This window comes from Homo sapiens, chromosome 12 (assembly GCF_000001405.40).
Source record: "Homo sapiens chromosome 12, GRCh38.p14 Primary Assembly".
Taxonomy (NCBI): Eukaryota; Metazoa; Chordata; class Mammalia; order Primates; family Hominidae; genus Homo; species Homo sapiens.
Window position 1 is genome coordinate 26,403,389 of NC_000012.12, and position 20,146 is coordinate 26,423,534.

The 20,146-nt window shown below is 36.4% G+C and overlaps 1 protein-coding gene and 1 long non-coding RNA gene across 7 annotated transcripts in view; one reads left to right on the top strand and one right to left on the bottom strand.

Moving 5' to 3' along the window:
- ITPR2-AS2 (ITPR2 antisense RNA 2) overlaps positions 1-19,416 on the top strand; it is a 103,881-nt gene extending 84,465 nt beyond the window's left edge. Inside the window, exons 3-6 of the long non-coding RNA NR_199072.1 lie at positions 3,075-3,245; positions 16,020-16,104; positions 16,388-16,461; positions 17,877-19,416. This is a non-coding gene — a long non-coding RNA (ITPR2 antisense RNA 2). The remainder of the gene's footprint in view (positions 1-3,074; positions 3,246-16,019; positions 16,105-16,387; positions 16,462-17,876) is intronic.
- The window catches only part of ITPR2 (inositol 1,4,5-trisphosphate receptor type 2), a 497,843-nt gene that overhangs the window by 68,037 nt on the left and 409,660 nt on the right, over positions 1-20,146 (bottom strand). For all 6 annotated transcript variants that reach the window (XR_001748686.3, NM_001414174.1, NM_001414175.1 and 3 more), the window contains 3 exons: positions 15,661-15,825; positions 11,915-12,110; positions 7,932-8,024 (listed from right to left, as the gene is read on the bottom strand). Coding sequence is in view for 5 of the 6 variants with exons in the window: in NM_001414174.1 (NP_001401103.1) it covers positions 7,932-8,024; positions 11,915-12,110; positions 15,661-15,825 (454 nt within the window). In the remaining variant the exon portion in view is untranslated. The remainder of the gene's footprint in view (positions 1-7,931; positions 8,025-11,914; positions 12,111-15,660; positions 15,826-20,146) is intronic.

Sequence of the window (20,146 nt, forward strand, 5' to 3'; positions counted from 1 at the left end):
GCTATCCAGCCAGTTGGTGAAATAGTACAAGATAAAACATGTAGAAGACAAATTAGCATGTGGTAAAAGACACAGAAGTGGAAGCCAGGCATGGTGATACACGTGTGTAGGCCCCGCTACTCAGGAGGCTGAAGGGGGAATGTCATGTGAGCCCAAAAGTTGGAGACTGCAGTGAGCTATAATCACACCACTGCACTCCAGCCTGGGTGACAGAGAGACTCTGTCTCTAAAAAAAACAAGCAAACAAACAACAATGCAGAAGTAGCAGTGATGCAAAGAGACAGAAATAGGGAGATAAACTGTACAGAGATAGAGGGGAGTCCCTCTAATTAATGTAGACTCTATATTAAGTAGTAGAATCGAGTTTGCCTTGACTCATCAATGTACTAAGACTTGAGTAGAAAGGCATCTCAAGTGCCAGGGACAGAAAGCCCCAGAGGTAGAAAAATGTATGCTTGTACGATGAACAGCAAATAAACCAGTAAGTATGGGTGAGAGGAGTGGAAGACGAAGCTGGAGCGATAAACTGGGAGCTCTCTGTGAAGCTGTAGGGAGTTTGGATTTTATTGGGCGGGAAATGGAGCATCATGGAAAGCCTGAGTTGGGGTAGGGGAGGAAATATTCAAGGCAGCGATTTCTGACAAATAGTCTAGTGGTGATATACTGGGTGAATTGAAGAGGAAAGAATGACTGGAGGTGGAAAGACCACTTAGGAGGCAGTTGCAATAATTCAGGCATGATGTTCTATGAGCCTCAACCAGGGTAATGGGAGAGAAGAGGCAAAGGATGAATGAAAGGAAGCTGACAGAACTGTAGGCAGAAGGGGGAAGGCAGCATTAAATACAACTCTGAGGCCTCCCAGCCATGGGTGACTTAGGAAAAGGATCGTCCCATTAGACCATAGAAATAGACCATTTAGAAGGAAGAACTGGTTGTAGGGTGTTTTGATGAAGGCAAGCAAAGCATCTCAGATGATTTGTATGTTTATAGAATGAGAAGACAATAAAACATTTTTAAAAGTCAGAGAGGACAAGAGAGTTCAGAGGATACTGTGATCCAAATTAAGGAAGACAATAATTTTAAAGATGTCAAAATTGCAGAATAGTCAAAGGCAATGAGAAGCAAAAAAATAGTCACTGGATTAAACAATAGGGTCATCAGGAAACAGTAGGAAGAAGGCAAATGGTAGAGAAAAAGCAGTGCAGAAATTAAAGGAGAGAGGGTCGGTCAACTGTTTTATAGGGAAATTTGGTACTGAAGGAAGGAGACTAGTAGTTTCCTGGGAGTTTCAGGGAATAAGAAAACCCAGAGGAAGGTTGAATTGGGACCTAAGATGTGTGTAGGAAGAAAGAGAGAGAACAGATGATGACAAGGAAAAGATTTCAGATGTAAGAACAATGGTCCAGCTGATGGTGGCCAGGAAGTAATGATAAACACAGGGGTAGTTATAAAAGAAGGGAGAGGGCCAGGTGCGGTGGCTTATGCCTGTAATCCCAGCACTTTGGGAGGCTGAAGTGGGCAGACTACCTGAGGTCAGGAGTTCAAGATCAGCCTGGCCAACATGGTGAAACACTGTCTCTACTAAAAATTCAAAAATTAGCTGAGCATGGTGGCACAAGCCTGTAATCCCAGCTACTCAGGAGGCTGAGGCAGGAGAATCACTTGAACCCAGGAGGCAGAGGTTGCAGTGAGCCAAGACCGTGCCATTGCACTCTAGCCTGGGCAACAAGAGCAAAACTCTGTCTCAAAAAAAAAAAAAGAAGAAGAAGAAGAAAGAAGGAGGAGGAGGAGGGAGAGAACATGTTGCTTATAAACAAAAGTAAAGAATTAGTGAAAATAGACTTTTAATGTGGAGACATTTAAAAGAACTAAATATATACCTATGAAGAACTTAGAACAGTGCTTGGCGTATAGTTAGGACTCAATACATTCTAGCTATCATAATTATCATTACTGAGAGATAGTGGTTAAATCTCATGAAAAGTTTTGGTTTTAAAACAATAAACAAATTCTAATCTTGAATTCTATGAGGTTAAATAATCCTCATTCTCAGTTGACTAGTAAAATACAGTATTTTTTCTTAATTTATAATGCAAATAAAATGTTTTATATGAGGGAAGGAATACAAACATATTTTAGTGGCTCTGAAATAGTTCCCTCTAATCTGAGGTGTTAATCTATAAATTTTAAAAAATATTGGCCATGCTTGAATAACGGTATTTAATAATGCCATTTTTCTGCTTTAATAATTAAATTCAGTGTTTGTTATGGTTTCTTAGAAAACAAGGGATTGTCACTGAGACACGTTTGAAAGTATGAGTGCAAATGAACACCTCTTGTGGGTGGAACACCTGAGGTCAGGAGCTCAAGACCAGCCTGGCCAACATGGTGAAACACCTTCTCTACTAAAAATACAAAAACTAGCCAGGCGTGGTGGTGCATGCCTGTAATCCCAGATACTCAGGAGGCTAAGGCAGGAGAATCACTTGAACCTGGGAAGTGCAGGTTGCAATGAGCTGAGATTGTGCCATTGCACTCCAGCCTGGATGACAGAGCAAGACTCCATCACAAAAAAGAAAAAACAAAACAAAAAAACCTCTTGCCTGTCAGTCTTAAGCTTTAATTATAATCAATTCATTGGTGGAAATGCTGATTTTAAAAATTTCAACTATATCCAAAATGTCAGTACTGCTGGAAAAATAAATAAATAATAAGAAATAAAAATTTTAACGAGAAAAAAAATTTAAAACACTGGGGACCCAGTGGGAAGCCAAAATGTAGAATGCATTAAGGCTGACTGGTTTCTGGTATTCATCAATCTTTTCTATTAAAGTAAAATATCCAAACATATTAAATTTGAATTATTCATAAATGTTAAGTGTCTGTGAACTTTGTCCTTTTTTCTGTACATTCGAATGATTTTTACTTATAAAATAATTGTAATTGTATTTTGTAAATTGTTGCAAAAAGGCCTTGCTTTTTTTAAGGTGAATATTTTTGTTCAGGAACCAGGGAGGTCTGCAGCAAATGAAATATGAAGTTTTTTTTTTTTTTTTTTTTTTTTTTAAACACAGTTGGTTGCCAGTTACTGCGTGAATTTTCTGGCGCTGGGACAATGACCTTCCCTGCATCCACAGGAGCCCTCTGAGGGAGCTGGCCACTCTGCCTCCTAGTCACCGTGAGGCTTGTTATTAAGCTACTGTGTATGTCTGTACCTTTTGTAACATGGACCTGCTGTCCACAAGGTAACAAACTAAGGCTGTCATGGATGCACACTAGGGTTTGCAAGTTAAAATTTAATCCTGGTCTTAGACATAGAAGTTATTTTTAAATTTAAGTGACACATGCTGCACAACAAACCCCAGGTTCTAGCTTTCACTCTACTTTTGCAGTTAACTACATGCAGTCAAAATTTAAAAGTGCCAAACGCTAGCAGATCAAATCCATAACATTTTCAAACAGATGAATTTTATCACTTACAATGTCAAATACAAAAAGTGTATGGAAGAAACAGTAGATTAATACAGGCATTCCTGTATTTTTATTACTAATGTAGGAATACTCCCTAATTGTGAAAAGCTATTGCCACCATCTCTGGCTTCCAGCAGTATCTGTGACACATCTCCAGAGATGAAACTCCTCCACTCTCCAGATGGAATCCTCGCTTTCCTCCCTACTCTGGCAGCTATCCTTACAAAATCATCTCCACCTCTTCCCCCAACTCCTAGCTCTGCTGCAGCCTAAAAGATGGAGACTTTCCCCCAATGTGCCTGGGAGGAACAAATCACCATTTGTTCATAGGAAGGAGAAATGATGTTCTTTGTGTAATATATTAGGTGAAGTGCAGGTTATAGAGGTTTTCCTGGGAAGCCTTTTATAAGAGTTTGTATTCAGGGTCATGAATAACATCCAAACAGAACAGTTTATCAAGCTTAACATTATTAATATTTTGGGCTAGATGATTCTTTGTTGTGGACTGTCCTGTGCAATGTGGGATGCTTAGTAGCATCCCTGTCCTCTACCCACTAGATGCTAGTAGCACCCCATCCCAGTTGTGACAACAGACATGTCTCTAGACATTGTCAGATGTCCCTGGGGGGTTGGGGTAGGGGTGGGGACAAAATCAACTCCAGTTCATAAATACGTAACAGAGAATATTTATATTCAAGAAATTGTCTTTAGTAGGTATAAAGAAAGGCTTAAAAAAATCTATCCAAACATACTCAGTGAAATGAAATGATCTCAAATTTTGGTTAGGGAAGAAATAATTTATAGTGATCTTTTAATTAGGAGGCAATAAGACAGAAGGTTGGAATATAAGCTTTGAAATCTATGTTGATATACATTGACTGACTAGCTGTGATCTTGGCAACTTATTTAATGCCTCTTTCCTTAGGGTCCCTACCGAAAATGTAAGGATAACTAGTAGTATCTATCTATCTCACAGGGTTGTTGTGATAATTAAGTGACATAATGCACACAATGCGCTCAGCACAGTACCTGAAATGAGTAAGCCTTCTCCAGGTCCTTGAACATGTCTCAGGGCGTTCACTCTCAGATGTTCCATGTGGCCAGAACACACTTCTCCCTCCTCTCGGCCTGACTAGCTCCTTCTCATCCTCCAAGTCTCAACTTAAGTAATTCCTCTTAGAAAGGTCTCTCTGTCTAATCTCCCAACAGCCAATCTCTATTGTGATGATCAGTCATACCACTGTTAGTAATACTCACCTTATCTTATAACTTTTTATGTTTCCCTTACTGTAAGTTCTATAAAGGCCAGAATCATGTTTGTTTATTCAACACTGTGTCCTCAACAGCTAGCATGGTGACTGGCCCAGAGTAGAGGCTCAACAAATATAACTATGTGAAAAAATGAATGAAGGAATGAATACACAAGGCTTTTATTATATTATCATCCTCATCATCAAGGTTTGTACTGAATAGACTTAACTACTCTCCCGTTTTCTAAAAATATTTACTTTTTAAATTTTAAGATCAAAATGTCACAATAGTAATAACGTATGAAATAATTACAATAGACCATTTGGTTGAGCATCAACAATCATGCCTGGGGAGTTGTATAAAGCCTAACATTTACAGGATTACACAGAGCTGGGCAGCCAACCATCCTGGGAGAGTCTCACACTATGAATGACCTGGAAGACCTCATTCTAGGAGAGTGGCCCTGGCAGTTCTCTCTCTCTGTGCCTTGGGAGCCCTGGCTACCACGCTGTGGGTGAGACTCAGATCCTCTTCTGGGCCCACTGAGTCAGCCCTCTTTGTATACTCTGGAACAACAAGTACTAGCTTTGTTGCTGGTTCACTAGCAAAGCAATATTTTGTCTTGAAATCAAACCACAGTTAAAGTATATTTGCTTTAAAATAAAGGAAACAATATTAAAGAAATATTCAGAGATAGAAGACCAATGCAAGCATAGGGCCACTGATACTTGGAACCATGTTGTTACAATAAAATATTTGTGTTAATAATAAACTTTTTAACATATTATTTTTCATACTCTGTTAAGGGGGGAAATGTTGAATTAAAAGAGAAATAAATACTGATGACAATAATCTGAACTTTGAGGTGGCCAAAGAGATCCCAGGAGTCATTTAATTTTACCCAGCTATTTCAACTATGTTCAAGTTTTCAAAATGTCTCTTTTTAAAAAGTGATTTTTTAAAAAGTCATGGATAATGATGGAAAATGAGGGACACCTGTAGACCTGAATTTGAGACTGTGACAGACTCTGCAAGCTGCTGAAAAATGCTGTTTGACACCAAGACAAGATACTAAAGTGGATCACTAAAGAGACAGTGTGAGTTAGGACTAACCCACACTATCAGTGCATTCAGTACACGTTCAGACTAACCTCAAATTAGAAAAGTAGCAGACATCATGTATCTGGGCTTTGGCAAAAAGTCTTTGATAAAAAGTCTCATGATATCCTTTGAAAAAAGATAGAGCAACATGGGCGGAATGATGTTAACAGTTTCTTTAAGAGAGATTTCTATGCAACTGAAGAATTGCACAAAATGCAACCATGTCCATGTGAGAGCATGTTCTAGTGCTTAGCACTGCATTGCTGTCCTATGCATTTCTGGCACCCTTAATGGAAATCTTCTAGAACAGAGGTTGGCAAAAAAAAAATTTCTGTAGCCAGATGCCAACTATCTTAGGCTTACATACAGTTTCCATCACATGTTTTTCTTGAAAAAAAAAATTTACAATCATTCTTAGCTCAACGGCTGTATAAAACTAGAGCAAGTCATATTTTCCCATGGGACATAGTTTGCCACCCTCTGTTCAAGGGTGTATCAAACTTGAGGACATGAAGGAGAATAAATATATTGCTTGACAGAATCAGGATCCATACGGACACCATGAGGCTCATGGCACATTAGAACTGGAAGGGACCTGAAACCGAGAGATCTTCCGGGCAAAGACCTCCTGTCTATTCACTGGTCAAATTGCGACGACCTGGGATTATGGGCTGGCAGAAATATGTAGAAAAAAAATGCATGGGCTTCTATTTGAAATCCCAAACTCCTAATTATATGAGAACAGGGTGGCTGTTTATGACATGACAGCTGAACCAGTGAAGAATGGCATTTTAGCCAAGAGTCAGCCAAATATGGATCAAGAGTGTGATGTGGTTCTAAACTCCAGTATCCAGAACAAGACAGCACTTTTCAACTGCTTGCCCTGGAGTGTCATGGCAGTACTCACTGTTATAGTATGTGAGGAAAGCTGAAGAAATCGGAGGTGTTTAGATTGGAGGATGCAAATAGCAGGATTTTAGAAACTGCAGAGCACAATAATGCTATACGAGTCAAGAATGAGCTGGTTCTTATTGTGAGCCTTGACTGGGAGAGCAGGCGGCAGGGGAGAGAAGTGCTGGTGACGGCTGCCCACAGTGCCTATGGCTGCTGGGACACTGGATGGAATGTATTCATGTGCTTAATTCTCTCTTTAGGTCAAGAAGCATAAAATATTTAGTCAGTAGAAGGGTCTATTCATTATTCCTCAAGCAATAGTCCAACATCTCAAGGAAAAGGCCGTTTAGGAAAGAAAGCACTATCATTATGACCAGACAAACAGTGTGGTCCCAGATGGAAACTGGGGAACTCCGCACCTACACTATGCTTAACTCTTTCTTCCCTTATCTGTCCTAAGTCTAACTTTGCCCTCTGTAGATACAACACATCAACTCCTACTAAATCTGCTCCTTTTTGTATATGACAACCCTTAAGATATTTGAAGACATACACTCCCTAAATCTTTGCTGCTTCAGGAAACAGGTCACTAATTTCTTCTACAGTTCCTTATATATGACACATGCCATAGTTTCCAGCCTGCCACATCCTATGAGATCAATTCAGAGTTTAAAGAATTATTATTTTTATATGTATGGTTCCATTTGATCCTGTGGAGGCAGGGAAAGTTTCATTCTCATTCTCTCTCTAGAGAGAGAGAGATAGGCAGGCAAGTCATCTGAACAAAGTCCAGGAAATTTGCATAACTTGTCCAAGACATAGAGCTAGAGACTGTCAAGTCCAGGATTATTACCAAGTCTTTTGAATTATAAGCCCATACTCTTCCCGATCCTGTGTGAAAGGCTACACAGCTAAAAGGGACTCACTTAGTGTGGTTTGCAATATGGTAATAGAATCTTCAGCAGCACATACCACAGGGTAAATGTGCTAAATCCTCCTGAATAGAAACAATATAACGAACAGGAGAGGGGTACAAAATGACCAATGTGGGAATCCTTTCTCCTGTTCAAATCATCTTGGTTCTTTTACTCTCTATTCTTCTATTTCAATCCATCATGAAATTTGTAGAGCAATTCCCTAAGAGGTAATAATATTTACTAAATAAAACTTCAAAGATATCAAGTTCATACTGACCCAGAGTCCTTTCTACAAACCTGTATTTGAAGCTGGAATTGTGGGTGAACAGTTCTCCTTGGCACATGCTTCCATCATGGTAGTTAAAGTCATAGTAGGCACTTGATGACTGCCTAAGAAAATACAAAGTAGTATATAATATAGAGTCAAATATGCACATGATGAAAACTGAACCTACAGTTCTAAAGATATGTAAATTAAAGGCATTCATACTCCAACTTAGCTGTGTTCCTAAAGTCCTAGGAAGTTAGTATGGAATTCTGAACACAGTTTTGCCTATTGAAGCAATTTTATAAATGGAGAATAGCTTCATAGGCCAACCCACTAAAAGCCTTTTATACCTTTTTTAAGTGGTTGAGATAAAGTATTAATACTGTAGACCTTTACATCCATGTGTAATAATGTTTCCATGGGCAAACTCATTCAGGGTTCTGACTTGGGATGCCAGGAACATATTCCCCTCAGTGCAGTTGGCAGTCCCTGAGCCCTAAGCCACTCGTCCCTACAACTGAGGCAGGGACTGCTGCTGGTAGTGGTTCTAACAGTCAGGTACAGGCTCTAGGGAACTAAGGGCATCATATGCCTTGGGGAGCAAAAATCTTCTGCCAGATCTGTGTTCAGGATCTTCTATTCTTCCATAGTCCCCAGGAATCCATCTGCTTCCTGGCTCACCACCTATTTCCCTGACACAGAATAGAATAGAAAATAGTAACCCTCCTATTTGTATGAAACAACGTTTTATTTTTTTAAATGTTGTTTTTGTTAGTAACACATATGAAGTAAAGAGGTTCCTCTCAAACCTATTTTTCCCATAGAGCCATCGAGGGAAGTCTTCATGATGGAGAGACAAGGGTAGGTCCAGTTGTAGCTACAAAGGCTGTAGCAGTATTGAAGTGCATTTCCCAGCAATGCCACACCATGATTACCCTGACTGTGACTAATCAGCTGAGATGGGGTAGAAATGGCAAAGGAAAGCTGGAGTTTGAAGGAAACATGAGGAGGAGGAGGCAGAGTGAGGCTGGGGTTGCCAGCCACACAAACACTGGAGCTGAGAGAGCTAGTGTCCTCCCCAGACACAGATTTACCTCCATCCCCTGAGGGTGGGCACATCCCCATTAATCCTGAGTTGAGGGTGTGCGGGTGTGGGGGGTCAGAAAGTGAGAGAAGAGTGTGCCCTGTGGCCATTCCCTTACTTAATACTTACTGAAGCATCCTGCTAGGCCCCCCAGGCCCAGAGCTGAGGCCTGGAAGAACAACAGTTAGCTAGAGGACATAGAGAGATATAGACACAATTATAATTGACTGGAGAGAGTGAAGTACAGATTTCTTTTTTAATGTAATACATTAGAGGAGGAAGAAGTGAATTCTAGGAGGGGGAAAAAAACCCAGAAAGCTTTTTGGAAAAGGGTCCATCTAAAGGAGTCATAGGACTTAGATTCATCAAGGTAAGGCAGGGAGCAAAGGGGGTGATTCCAGGTACAATTTGTCTGACAAAAGGCGCAGAGGCCAATGAAGGCATGGACCAGTCAGAGTGACCAGAGCTACCAGCCACTACTTTAAACCAAGAACCCCACATCCAGTGCAGATCTAAAGGCTGTGAACCAATGAGAGACAGTGAGAGCTATGGTTGGAATGAGTAATTTGGGCAGGCAGAAGAGAGGCTATAGGTGGGGAAGCCACATAGGTGGCTCCAGCAGAATTCTGGGTGAGTGGAAATGAAGGTGAGAAACAGAAGGGTGAGAAACAGGAGGATGGCGCTGAAAATGGGGAAGAGGGACAGGTGTGGGTGAGAGAAACTGTCACCTCCACTTCTCAACAGATCCTTCTCTCTAAGTTCACAGACTTTTCTAAGACACCAATTTTCTGAACATTGCTCAAGTGGCAGCTACTTCATCTATCAACCCAGATTCCTCTGGTCCTGCAGGCAGGATCTGCGTTTGCAATGGCATTTGCCAATTACCCGTCCTCTATTCTCACAGGGCCCTGTGATGGCTTTACCATTCAGCTTTAGAACTCAACCTCCCCTCATTGCTCCCACCAACTGATTTTCTGATCTTTTCTTCTCATTCGCTACAGAGTTGCATATTTCTCTGCACTCCAAATTTCACTGGCTACCCAGGGGTGTCCTCAATAATGTCACTCAATATACATAGTCAACTTTGCAAGTAAATAGTGTCCAATACATGAAAGAATAAACTTAGCACTATGTATCAATAGAGACAATATGCGGCATTAGAAATGAAATTTGAAATATTATGAAAACAAGGGTGTTTTTCCTAGGGCATCATGTCATGTATAATCTCAGTCTATGAAACAAACACTCTTAATATATGAATAATCAAGGGTTTAACTTTGTTAACTGTCCCCATATGCTGGGTTTTCATAGTATTTATAAAAGCTTTATTGAACAGCATTCTATATGAATGTGTATAAATATTTTTAAGTAAAGAGCTTGAAACTTCTGGTCTACTGCTGCCCATTTTGTAAAAAACAAAAAAAGAAAAAAGGCATTTTTCCAAAGAAAATATTTATGTTCATAACACAATGATAACCAAGTTACTTTTTAAATAGCACAAAATATTTACCACTTGATTTGTAAGACAATAACTACTGCACACATTTTGAATTCATAAATTACGATTCAGCTTTAGACTCAATCTGTACTGAGTTACTCAGTGTCATCATGCCTCAAATCTAGTAAGTAATTAATGTGGAGGTTTTGGGAAGCAGATAGTCTACATGTATATATGTACACACACACACACACACACACACACACACACACACAAACACAAGTCCCCATATTTATACCTGTAAAACTCTGGGAAAAGTAACATTTAAGGAAGAAGAACAAGAAAGACAGTAACAGAAAATACTCTATGTTCCTGTGAATAAAGACTAATACCTAGGTATAAAATTCAGGACAGTCTCAAGTTTAATAACTTCCAGTCCACATATATGATGTTTCCATTCTGTGCTTTGATGACTGAGACTTACTAATAGACTTAAGTGCCATAATCTAAGTACTACCATATATCGTCAATTTAGTAATTAAGAAATGTTTGTTAAAGGCAAGACAGAATACCATTTGCAAGGCATCACTAATTAAATCCTAGTTTTACATTTAACGGTTTGAGGAGAAAGAGTGTCATATTTTGGTTTCCATTCTCTACAACCCATAGTCGGCAGAATCACCCAGAGAAACCATTAGCAAAGTGCAGAACTATGATTTCTACCCAGCAAAGCAGGGGAGGAGGAAAAAGAATAATAAACTTCAGAAGCTTAACCAAAACAACACAAGGTAGGAAAGGGAGAAAAACACTTTAGAAAGCTTAATAAATAAAAAAATCAAAATAACATGGAGAGAATAAAGCCTAACACCACAGGAATCACACTGATTATAAATGGACGGTGCCTAACCAGTCACGACAAAAATAGAGTATAGAAATTCTGAAAGTCACACACTGATAGATTTGGTCCATTAATCCCAATATTTTGAGCATGTCTTCCTTCTTTTGCTCAATATTTTGAGCAAATTTCTTATGATCTGGTGGTTTCAAATCAAAGCATTTATCATTTTCAGTTATTTAAGTATAATATGATACACTATGATCAAACATGTATGGAATAATGATTGTGAATGATGCTAGCTGTTATTTTTGGGGAGACAGGGAAAAAGAGGAGGAAAAGATTTTTAAAGTTATTATCCTGCACTGAAGTTGTTGACTATCTTTTGGAATATAGTCAGCTTTATTGAAACTTTCTTACCGAGACTGAGCTGGGATGGTGTTTCTCATGTAAGTATTTCCCTATACACATTGACAGCTAATATACAGCCTAAGAGTACTTCACATTCCTGACTCTTAGTAGTAAACAAAACATATTCTCAAAGGAATAAAAGAAAACATTTCCTCTATTCGTGTTTATCTATGATCCTGTTAACAAGCTACACACAAGTCATATCTGCCATCAGAGAAACCTCATTTAGTGGTAATAGCAATACCTGTAACAGGAGTTCGGTTTTTCAGCCTATCAACTTCCATAGTGAAGTCATCCTTCAAAAAAAGGAACCCAATAATGGAAAACAGGTAGACGAGGATGAGAGCCAGGACTGCAGTTAGAATAATAGAGCGGCCATTTCGTGTGACACTTTTTATGACATTCAGCAAAGTCTCTTCCCTGTACACCAAATCAAAAAGCTACAAAGATAAAGAAAACACTAATAAGAAAAGAAGGCATTGGAGGAAAAGGTGAACAAACAAAAATATAATTACAAATACAAATGCAAGCCATTCTAGTTTATATATAAAGAAATAACCTAAACCACCTTAAAATGAACCAAAGTATTTATTTCTTCTCCAGCTGGAATATATTAATAAATTGTTTTTCTATAAAGATACATCTAGCACAACATATAATGTGCATCTGTTGGTTTCAAAACCAACATAATATCAATTTACTAAAACATTACAGAAATAGCTTAGTTTTACATTTGAATTCAGAAAAGTTACATTGTACTTTACCAGCTTAGCTACTTATTCACTTATTCTTTATTTTTGGTCTTACTGATATTCTGCAGTTACTTCTGGAATATGTAAAATGGCTTAAGTGAGAATGCTGAATTAGGTCCTCCTGAGTGATGAACAATTGACAAATTCATTAAATGTATTACTTAATCAAGGGATTAGAGGTGAAATTGTAAGAACAGTTTCATGAGTCTGATGCAGCCGGAAAAGTATGAAATATAAAACTATTTGGGAAATGCAAACATCCTTCCTTAGTAACAGGGTATAATGAGGAAAAAAACCTATTACTTTAGTATATACTTTTGGAAATGGAAGTATAAACAAAAATATAATATGTACATTGCTAATTGATTTTCTCTAATAGGTTACTACCTATTTTGTCTTCAGTAGTAGAAAATCTATGCACTAGTCAAGCTATGTGTTTGCAATCTGTGTAGACACTAAGGACAATTTTATTTATTGCTACATTATAAAGTTGAAATTATACATTAGAAAGTATGTGTTTTATTATTAAAATCTGGTTAAATGCAATAAAATCACATTCACTTTTAGAAAGGTATAAATATCTGTTTGGAAATGAATAGTATTTTTAAAATTGGAATAATTGAGGTTTGTCTTCTATCTGTGGGCAGTAATTAGAGTTTCTGAACTGGCTGAAATGATCAATTATGTGTCATATACCCTTTCAGGACCTTGTCTATTTTTTTTCTGAGTACTGAGGGTTATACAGTTACTGTCCAATTTAATTGTAGTCTTGCAAATAATTGCTGACTAGATATTAACTTGTTTGCTCACCTATGGAAACTGCTATTTTACGATGGTTAAATTTTTTAAAAGTCTATTTTGCAATCTATTTACCTCCTGGAAGGAGCAGCCAGCTTTAGAAATGAAGTCAATATTCTTCAGTACAGACAAATTAACTAATGCACATTCAACTTCCAAATTGTCAACACTGTGGCTTATTAAATTTATTTAAGCAGTAAGTTGACATAGTCGAGATTTTTCTTTAAGTCAACTCAGCTGAGGTTTAAAGAAAAAAAAATCTGGCAATGTGCTGTAGGTCAGCTCTAGAGAACGTTTACAGCTTTCAGGAGCTCCTGGGATGCTTGCTAAAAATGCATATGCCTGGGTTCCGTTCTAGGCCCATGGAATCAGAATCTTACAAAAGCTGTTGACATTGGGCAAGCTGATTGTTCTTTCCATTTATTTCTGAAAACAAAATCTAGAGTGTGGTTTTTATTATTCTGGATAAAAGACTGACAATTGTGGGTACAACAGGGAATATTCAAATATTTTTTCAAATATAAAAAATCTTTTAAAAATATACTTACATACGATTTTTGATATCATGTATACCACAATTTTCTTCTAGTCCTCTAAACATCAAAATGGACTATATCCTTTTCAGAACCAACCCACTAAAAACAAACTACCATCAATATTGTAAGATTTGAAAGATAAAAGACCAGAGGAAAATACAATTAGAAAATGGGGTTAATAAAAACATAAACATGTGTACATCATTTCACATGTTTTTCATATTATCTGATATGGTTTGGCTCTGTGTCTCCACCCAAATTTCATCTCGAATTGTAATCGCCATGTGTCAAGGGAAGGACCTGGTGGGAGGTGATTGGATCATGGGGGTGGTTTCCCTCATGCTGTTCTTGAGACGGTGAGGGAGTTCTCTGGAGATCTGATGGTTTTAAAAGTGGCAGTTTCCCCCGTGCTCTCCTCTCTCTCTTCTGCCACCATGTAAGACATGCCTTGCTTCCCCTTCACCTTCCACCATGATTGTAAGTTTCCTTAGGCCTCCCCAGCCATGTGGAACTGTGAATCAATTAAACCTCTTTTGTTTATAAATTACTCAGTCTCAGGTAGTATATTCATAGCAGTGTGAGAACGGACTAACACATCTGTTTAATGGATCTTGATATTCCTATCCATTTTATAAACAAGAAAGTTGAGCACAAAAGTATTATAAACTCATCAAATTGCATACATTAAATGGGTATAGCTTTCTGTATGTCAGCTATACTTCAGTAAAGTGGTTTAAAAATTATAGAATATTACATGTCAGTCAGGTAAAAGTGCTGGGTATAATAGGACTTTATGTATCACTGACTGGTTAAAAAATGAACTTTTTCTGGTGAATCAGGGCAAAAAGAATTCATTTAGATTGTTAGAACGGAAAAAATATCTGTTGCTGAATAATCTAACTTAACTGCCTATAAGTTTATATGAAAACATAATAGACAAATCTACTCTTCACTGTGGCTCTTTCAAATGTTTGAGGGTATATGGAAAATTGGCCTCATTTCAGTCTTCTCAAATCGGTGTGCTAGATAATAGGGAGGCAGGAGGTGCTGGATTTGTCCCTCATGACTCAGGCAAATTCCTCAACAAAATGTTTTTAGATGTTTAACTTGTTTTCAGGGATCATCTTATTGGACAATGCTCTCCACTGCATGCCAACTATGAACTGGAAAGATAAATAAATTGTTCCTATGGCATCATGATGGTAACCTGGTAGTGCTTTTTAAGCTTCAAAACATTATCACATATTTATATTGACTCCTCTCCTGGTTTATGGCTATAAACCAGTACATATATAGGAAGGTAAATCAGAATTTTTTTAAAAAGTAACCTTTAGAAAAAAATTTGAAAGAGCCACTTAATGAGTTAAATATATGTAGATAAGTTTAACAGCAAGGACATATTAAACCAAAAACTATAAGACTGTTCTTAAAACAACTGTCTCTTTGCTATGATGGTTTTTTTAAATCCCCCTCATTTTACTTATATGCTATTCTAAAGGTACACATAATTTTTGATATTATAAATAAAATACAATGATTTCAGTACCTAAGAAAATATACCCCTATTTTGTCTCCCACACTGTAGAGAATCTTTAAATGTAAAGGGAAATATTAGTTGGCTGAAAGCAAAAGCAGCCCTTGTCATGTGAAGCCTGGGTCAAGAGGTGGGGTGACTGGTTGCTTCTCAAAGAGGAAATAAAGAACTCCACCACCTGTGTGGTTTCCCAAAGAAAAAAGATTACAAATGATAATAATTCACGCTTTTCCTAGGAAATTCTAAAAATAACATAATTTGTCCTAAATGTCAGGCTTTGCTTAAAAAAAAAAATCAAAGGAAGAGGCATAAGAAGCAGCAGCATTGTGTACTTTTTCAGCAGTGATTGTCCACATAGAGATGTACTCACCAGGAAGCTATAGAAGAATTCATGGACAAAAAGGCCCAGCATGCAAACCAGGACATACGCCACGTGATAGAGAAAGGCCATATCCAGGATGACTGCTCGGTACCCACGGGTGAACGTGCCACGATTTCCAACAAAACTCACCAGAAAAACAATTTTATTACAAAGCTAAAGGGAGGAAAGGGTTACAGATTACTGTCTTATTTATCCTGAAACCCACATGGATGAAAACTACTATTCATAGTCCATGACTTTTTGACATGGATGAAACAATTATTCATTAAAATCTATGACTTTTTGACATGGATGAAAACTATTATTCATAAAGTTCATGACTTTTTTCATAATTTCTCATTTTGTAGGTCTTCAGCATTGCTTACAAACTGGCACGTAAACATAATACATGCAAAACTTGCATCCTTTGCAGTTCCAGGAAGAGAGAGAATGGTAAGAGACTATGCAATCAAGACAGGTCTGGATTTAAATCTTGGCTCTTCCATTACTGTTGTGTGACCTAGTTCATGCAGCTGAGGGCCTTGATGGTTTATTCTGAAAAACCGGAATAAAAGAATTTCCATCTCATAGAACCCCTCAGAGGATTAAATGATATAATACATATGAAGTCCTTAATACAATGACTCCTAAAAATATTACTTTTATTATATTTTTTATAGTAAATATGTAAAATGTTTTTATTATGCTGTAAATATAACAGAAAATATCTTTTCAGGAAATGTCCAGAGATCTGTTCTTGATTTTGTGTTTTTATCATGGACTTTGTCTACTGAGTACTATTTTAAACAAGTAAGTGATTAAAATTATTTTTGCATTTAATTTATTTTATATACATAGAAAATATAAATGTACTTATATACCTGAGTTAAAATAAATATAATGTATGTATGTATTTTCTAAGCCCTATGTGTGATAATAATTCAATAAACATTTTGGAGTGTTTATTATGCTTCTGACTATGTACAGTATTTATATTCAACCCACATTTCATACTGCCTTTTGTGGCATAATTTTGGAATGTAGAAATTTATACTGAGATCCTTTGGCAATAATAACGATGTGTGTGCACTGATTTATAAACTTAGCACCATCTATTTAGTTCTAGAATCACTGCAGTAATTACAAACCAAAGAGCCAATTTTGTGTCTTAGTCATCAAGGAAAGAATTACAGATTTCAAGGGTTTACAGTTTGCTCTTCCTAATTGTTCCGAGTTCTTTAGGTTATCTACTGGAACCATATTTGTCCTTAAATGTCCAATCTTAACTTTGTAAAAACAGGTTGCTCTTTGCAACATTGTTGATTTGTTCAATATATATTAACAAATTATCGAATGATTTTTAAATAACATAAGAAGGACCATAACACTTTGAAGTAGATGTAAAATTGGAGGGATTGGAAAACCTTTTCCTTTCAATTTCTGAAGTTCAAATCAATACAGATGAAGTGAGAAATGGGTTACTATTACATGTTTTGAAGAGCCAACCAAATTAACAACATAGCAACTAAAAAGGCCAAACCTTTCCTAAATTTCTCCCCTGCTGATTAAGTATCCTCTCAATAATCAATGTTATCACTTCATTCATGTCTTATTTCACTGTTTAGTGTTTCATCATCAATATCTTATGCTATTATTAAGTATAGCTGTAGCATAATGAATGTATTTATATTTTCTGCCCAAGAGCAGGTTTAATATTGTAAGAAATTATTATTTAAAAACCCAGGAAATATATAAGAATACTAATCTATATGACATATTTAACAATAAACACCCCTAAAAATGGTGAAAAAGAGAGTGTCCAGAAGTCATATTCAGTAATTATTTAAATTGTTTTGAATGCCATTATTTAAATGTGTACTATTTACCTTGATTCATCCACCAGAGTTCATCAATATGAATTAGAAATAAGTTGTATAAAAATAAAATAAATAATTGGAGTCGTGAGTTTTCAGAAAGACGAATGATATGTTTAAGACACATTGTTTATATGATTTCTAATTCTCCAAATGAAATCATAAAAATTACGCAGAAAAACTATTTATAAGCTCCATATACTGAGGAAAAAAAATACACTGAATTTAAATTCTCAAAAAGAATAATACATTTAATTTCTCAAATAATGCAAAAACAAGGCCACATTTCTTCCTAAAAGAGACTCCGCCATTTTCACTTGAAAAATAAAGATTTGCCTTCTTTGTTTTCAGGTTTTGGTTTTTGTTTCATTTTTGAACCTTGATCTAGAGCTTGATGAATAGATTCCTGTTCTCTTCACTAAGTCTTGACGTGGAGTGGAGTTGATAACTGACAGTGGCGTCTACCTATTTCTGTTGAGATAAAAAACAGGGAACTTGGTGTGCTTTTGTTTTAAAGTGTTCATATGAAGGGGAAATATGTGCAAGAATAAATGATTCGGGTGGGAAAGAAGTTGAGCTGTGAATTCTCCTTTCTTCATGAAACTTACAAATTGTTTTCATATAGCATTTTCCATGAAAGTTTGGAATATTTATGCCAAGAATGAGCAAGTTGCTAAAACAGTCTCCCTTTTCATGTCATAAAAAAGTTGACATCGTCTAACCAGTCCTTCATTTGTCAGTGCCATTATAGCAAGGGTCCATGTGGGTGACAAAAAGTGGATGGTGTGCCCAGGAAACTGGGCAAGATGGTCACAAGGCTCTTCTGAGCTGGTGCTAAGAGGTTCCTCAAGTCAACACACAAATTTCAATTTCAAGGACCATAACTGTCCTATATATTTTTTTCTTACTCTGTCTATTATTCAAAGCCATCCCTGATACAGTTTTTGTTGGGGATGAGGTGAACTGTGTGACAGTGGGGAAAGGGATGGAATTGAAACAGCATCAGTGCAAGCTTTGGGACAGTCTTTAAAAAATGATAATACACCATCCAAATGATTTACCAATAGGTCTTCTAAAAAAAAAAGCAAAATTAATGTTTGTTTGTTAATTAGTGTATACTAAAGTTCATTACATTTACTTAAGTTTATTTAATTAAATTATCTATTTGCTAATTATTTATGAAATTATTACTAATTACTAAATAACTAAATTATTTACTAATTATTTACTAAATGATTAATTAATATATTTAATTTATTAGTTAATAATTTAGTAAATAACTAGTAAATAATTTAACTAATTAGTTAAACTATGAAGTATATATGAAAATACTACTTAATTATTTAACCAATAATTATTATTGAATTATTGAATAATTATTATTGAATAATAATAATACTTTATTGAATAATTTAACTATTTAATTAGATAATTTATTAGTTAAATAAGTTATTTAAGAAAGTAGTGTTTTCATATATACTTTATAGTTATTGATCTGTCTTTGCAGGACATTTAACAGTACAGTGTAGCAGAAAGACACTGAATTAGAAGGCGGGTCATCTGGTTTCAATCTTGGCTATGCTACTAATTTCTTGCTTTGGTAAACCCTCCTGGTGTCTACAGGACTTTGTTTTCTCACATATAAAATGAAATGCCTAGAAGTGAACAATCCTTAAGCTCCCTCATAGCTGTAGAATTCTGTGTGATACCTTTAAATGTTACAATTTTATTTGATCACAGACATTTATAGCTGCTTTATCTTTGTCTTTACATTATTCATTTCATCTTATTTGGTACTCTGTTCCTGATCAAGAATTCTATCCCCATCTTACATTGTTCCTATGGGAAAACATGACCTATTTTACAGGAATAAATTGTATAAAGAAAAAAAGACTGTCTACTTATTTATTGAAAAGTAAAATGGAATTTGTGATTTTCAACTCCATTACCATATTTTCATCAACCATGTAAGTTAAACTTCTTACTAAACATGAGATGGTTTGATTCAAAAATCTCCATTTCAGGGGCATTACATCTACAGCAGGACAAGGTTCTAAGATCAATGTGTAAGGCAAAATTTGCATGCAGTCAAAATCACCCTGGAAATCTCTTAAATTGCTGACAAAACAGAACAGTAAGCACAGGTCATGTAAATGGTAGTGTCTCTTACTAAATTCATCTCATCATACTTTAACCCCAGCGTTGGAGCAGTTTTCTGTTTCTGCAACTAGAAGTAGTTAGGAGCATTCAGTGACCACATTATATGAAAAAGGGTAGGTCTGTGTGTGTGGAGAGAGAGAGAGAGAAAATGAAAGTTGTTTACTCCAAATATATCACTGAATTTGTGTATGTTAAATGAACATATGGTGGAACTCGACCTTACGAATTAGCAGTAACATAAGACCTCCCAGAAAGCTATCTACAAGTAAGTAACTAGGGACATTACCCTATTAAATTTGAACACAGTGGCTCATTGTTAGTAGACTAGCTATCTGCTAAACTCCATTTGCTCCTTCTCTCTGCAAATGGTGAGACCAACTTATTAAATGAATTACACATTTCCAGGTACTATTAGAAAGGAAAAATCATTGTAGGTAAGAAGTTTAAAAGATCTTTTTGTA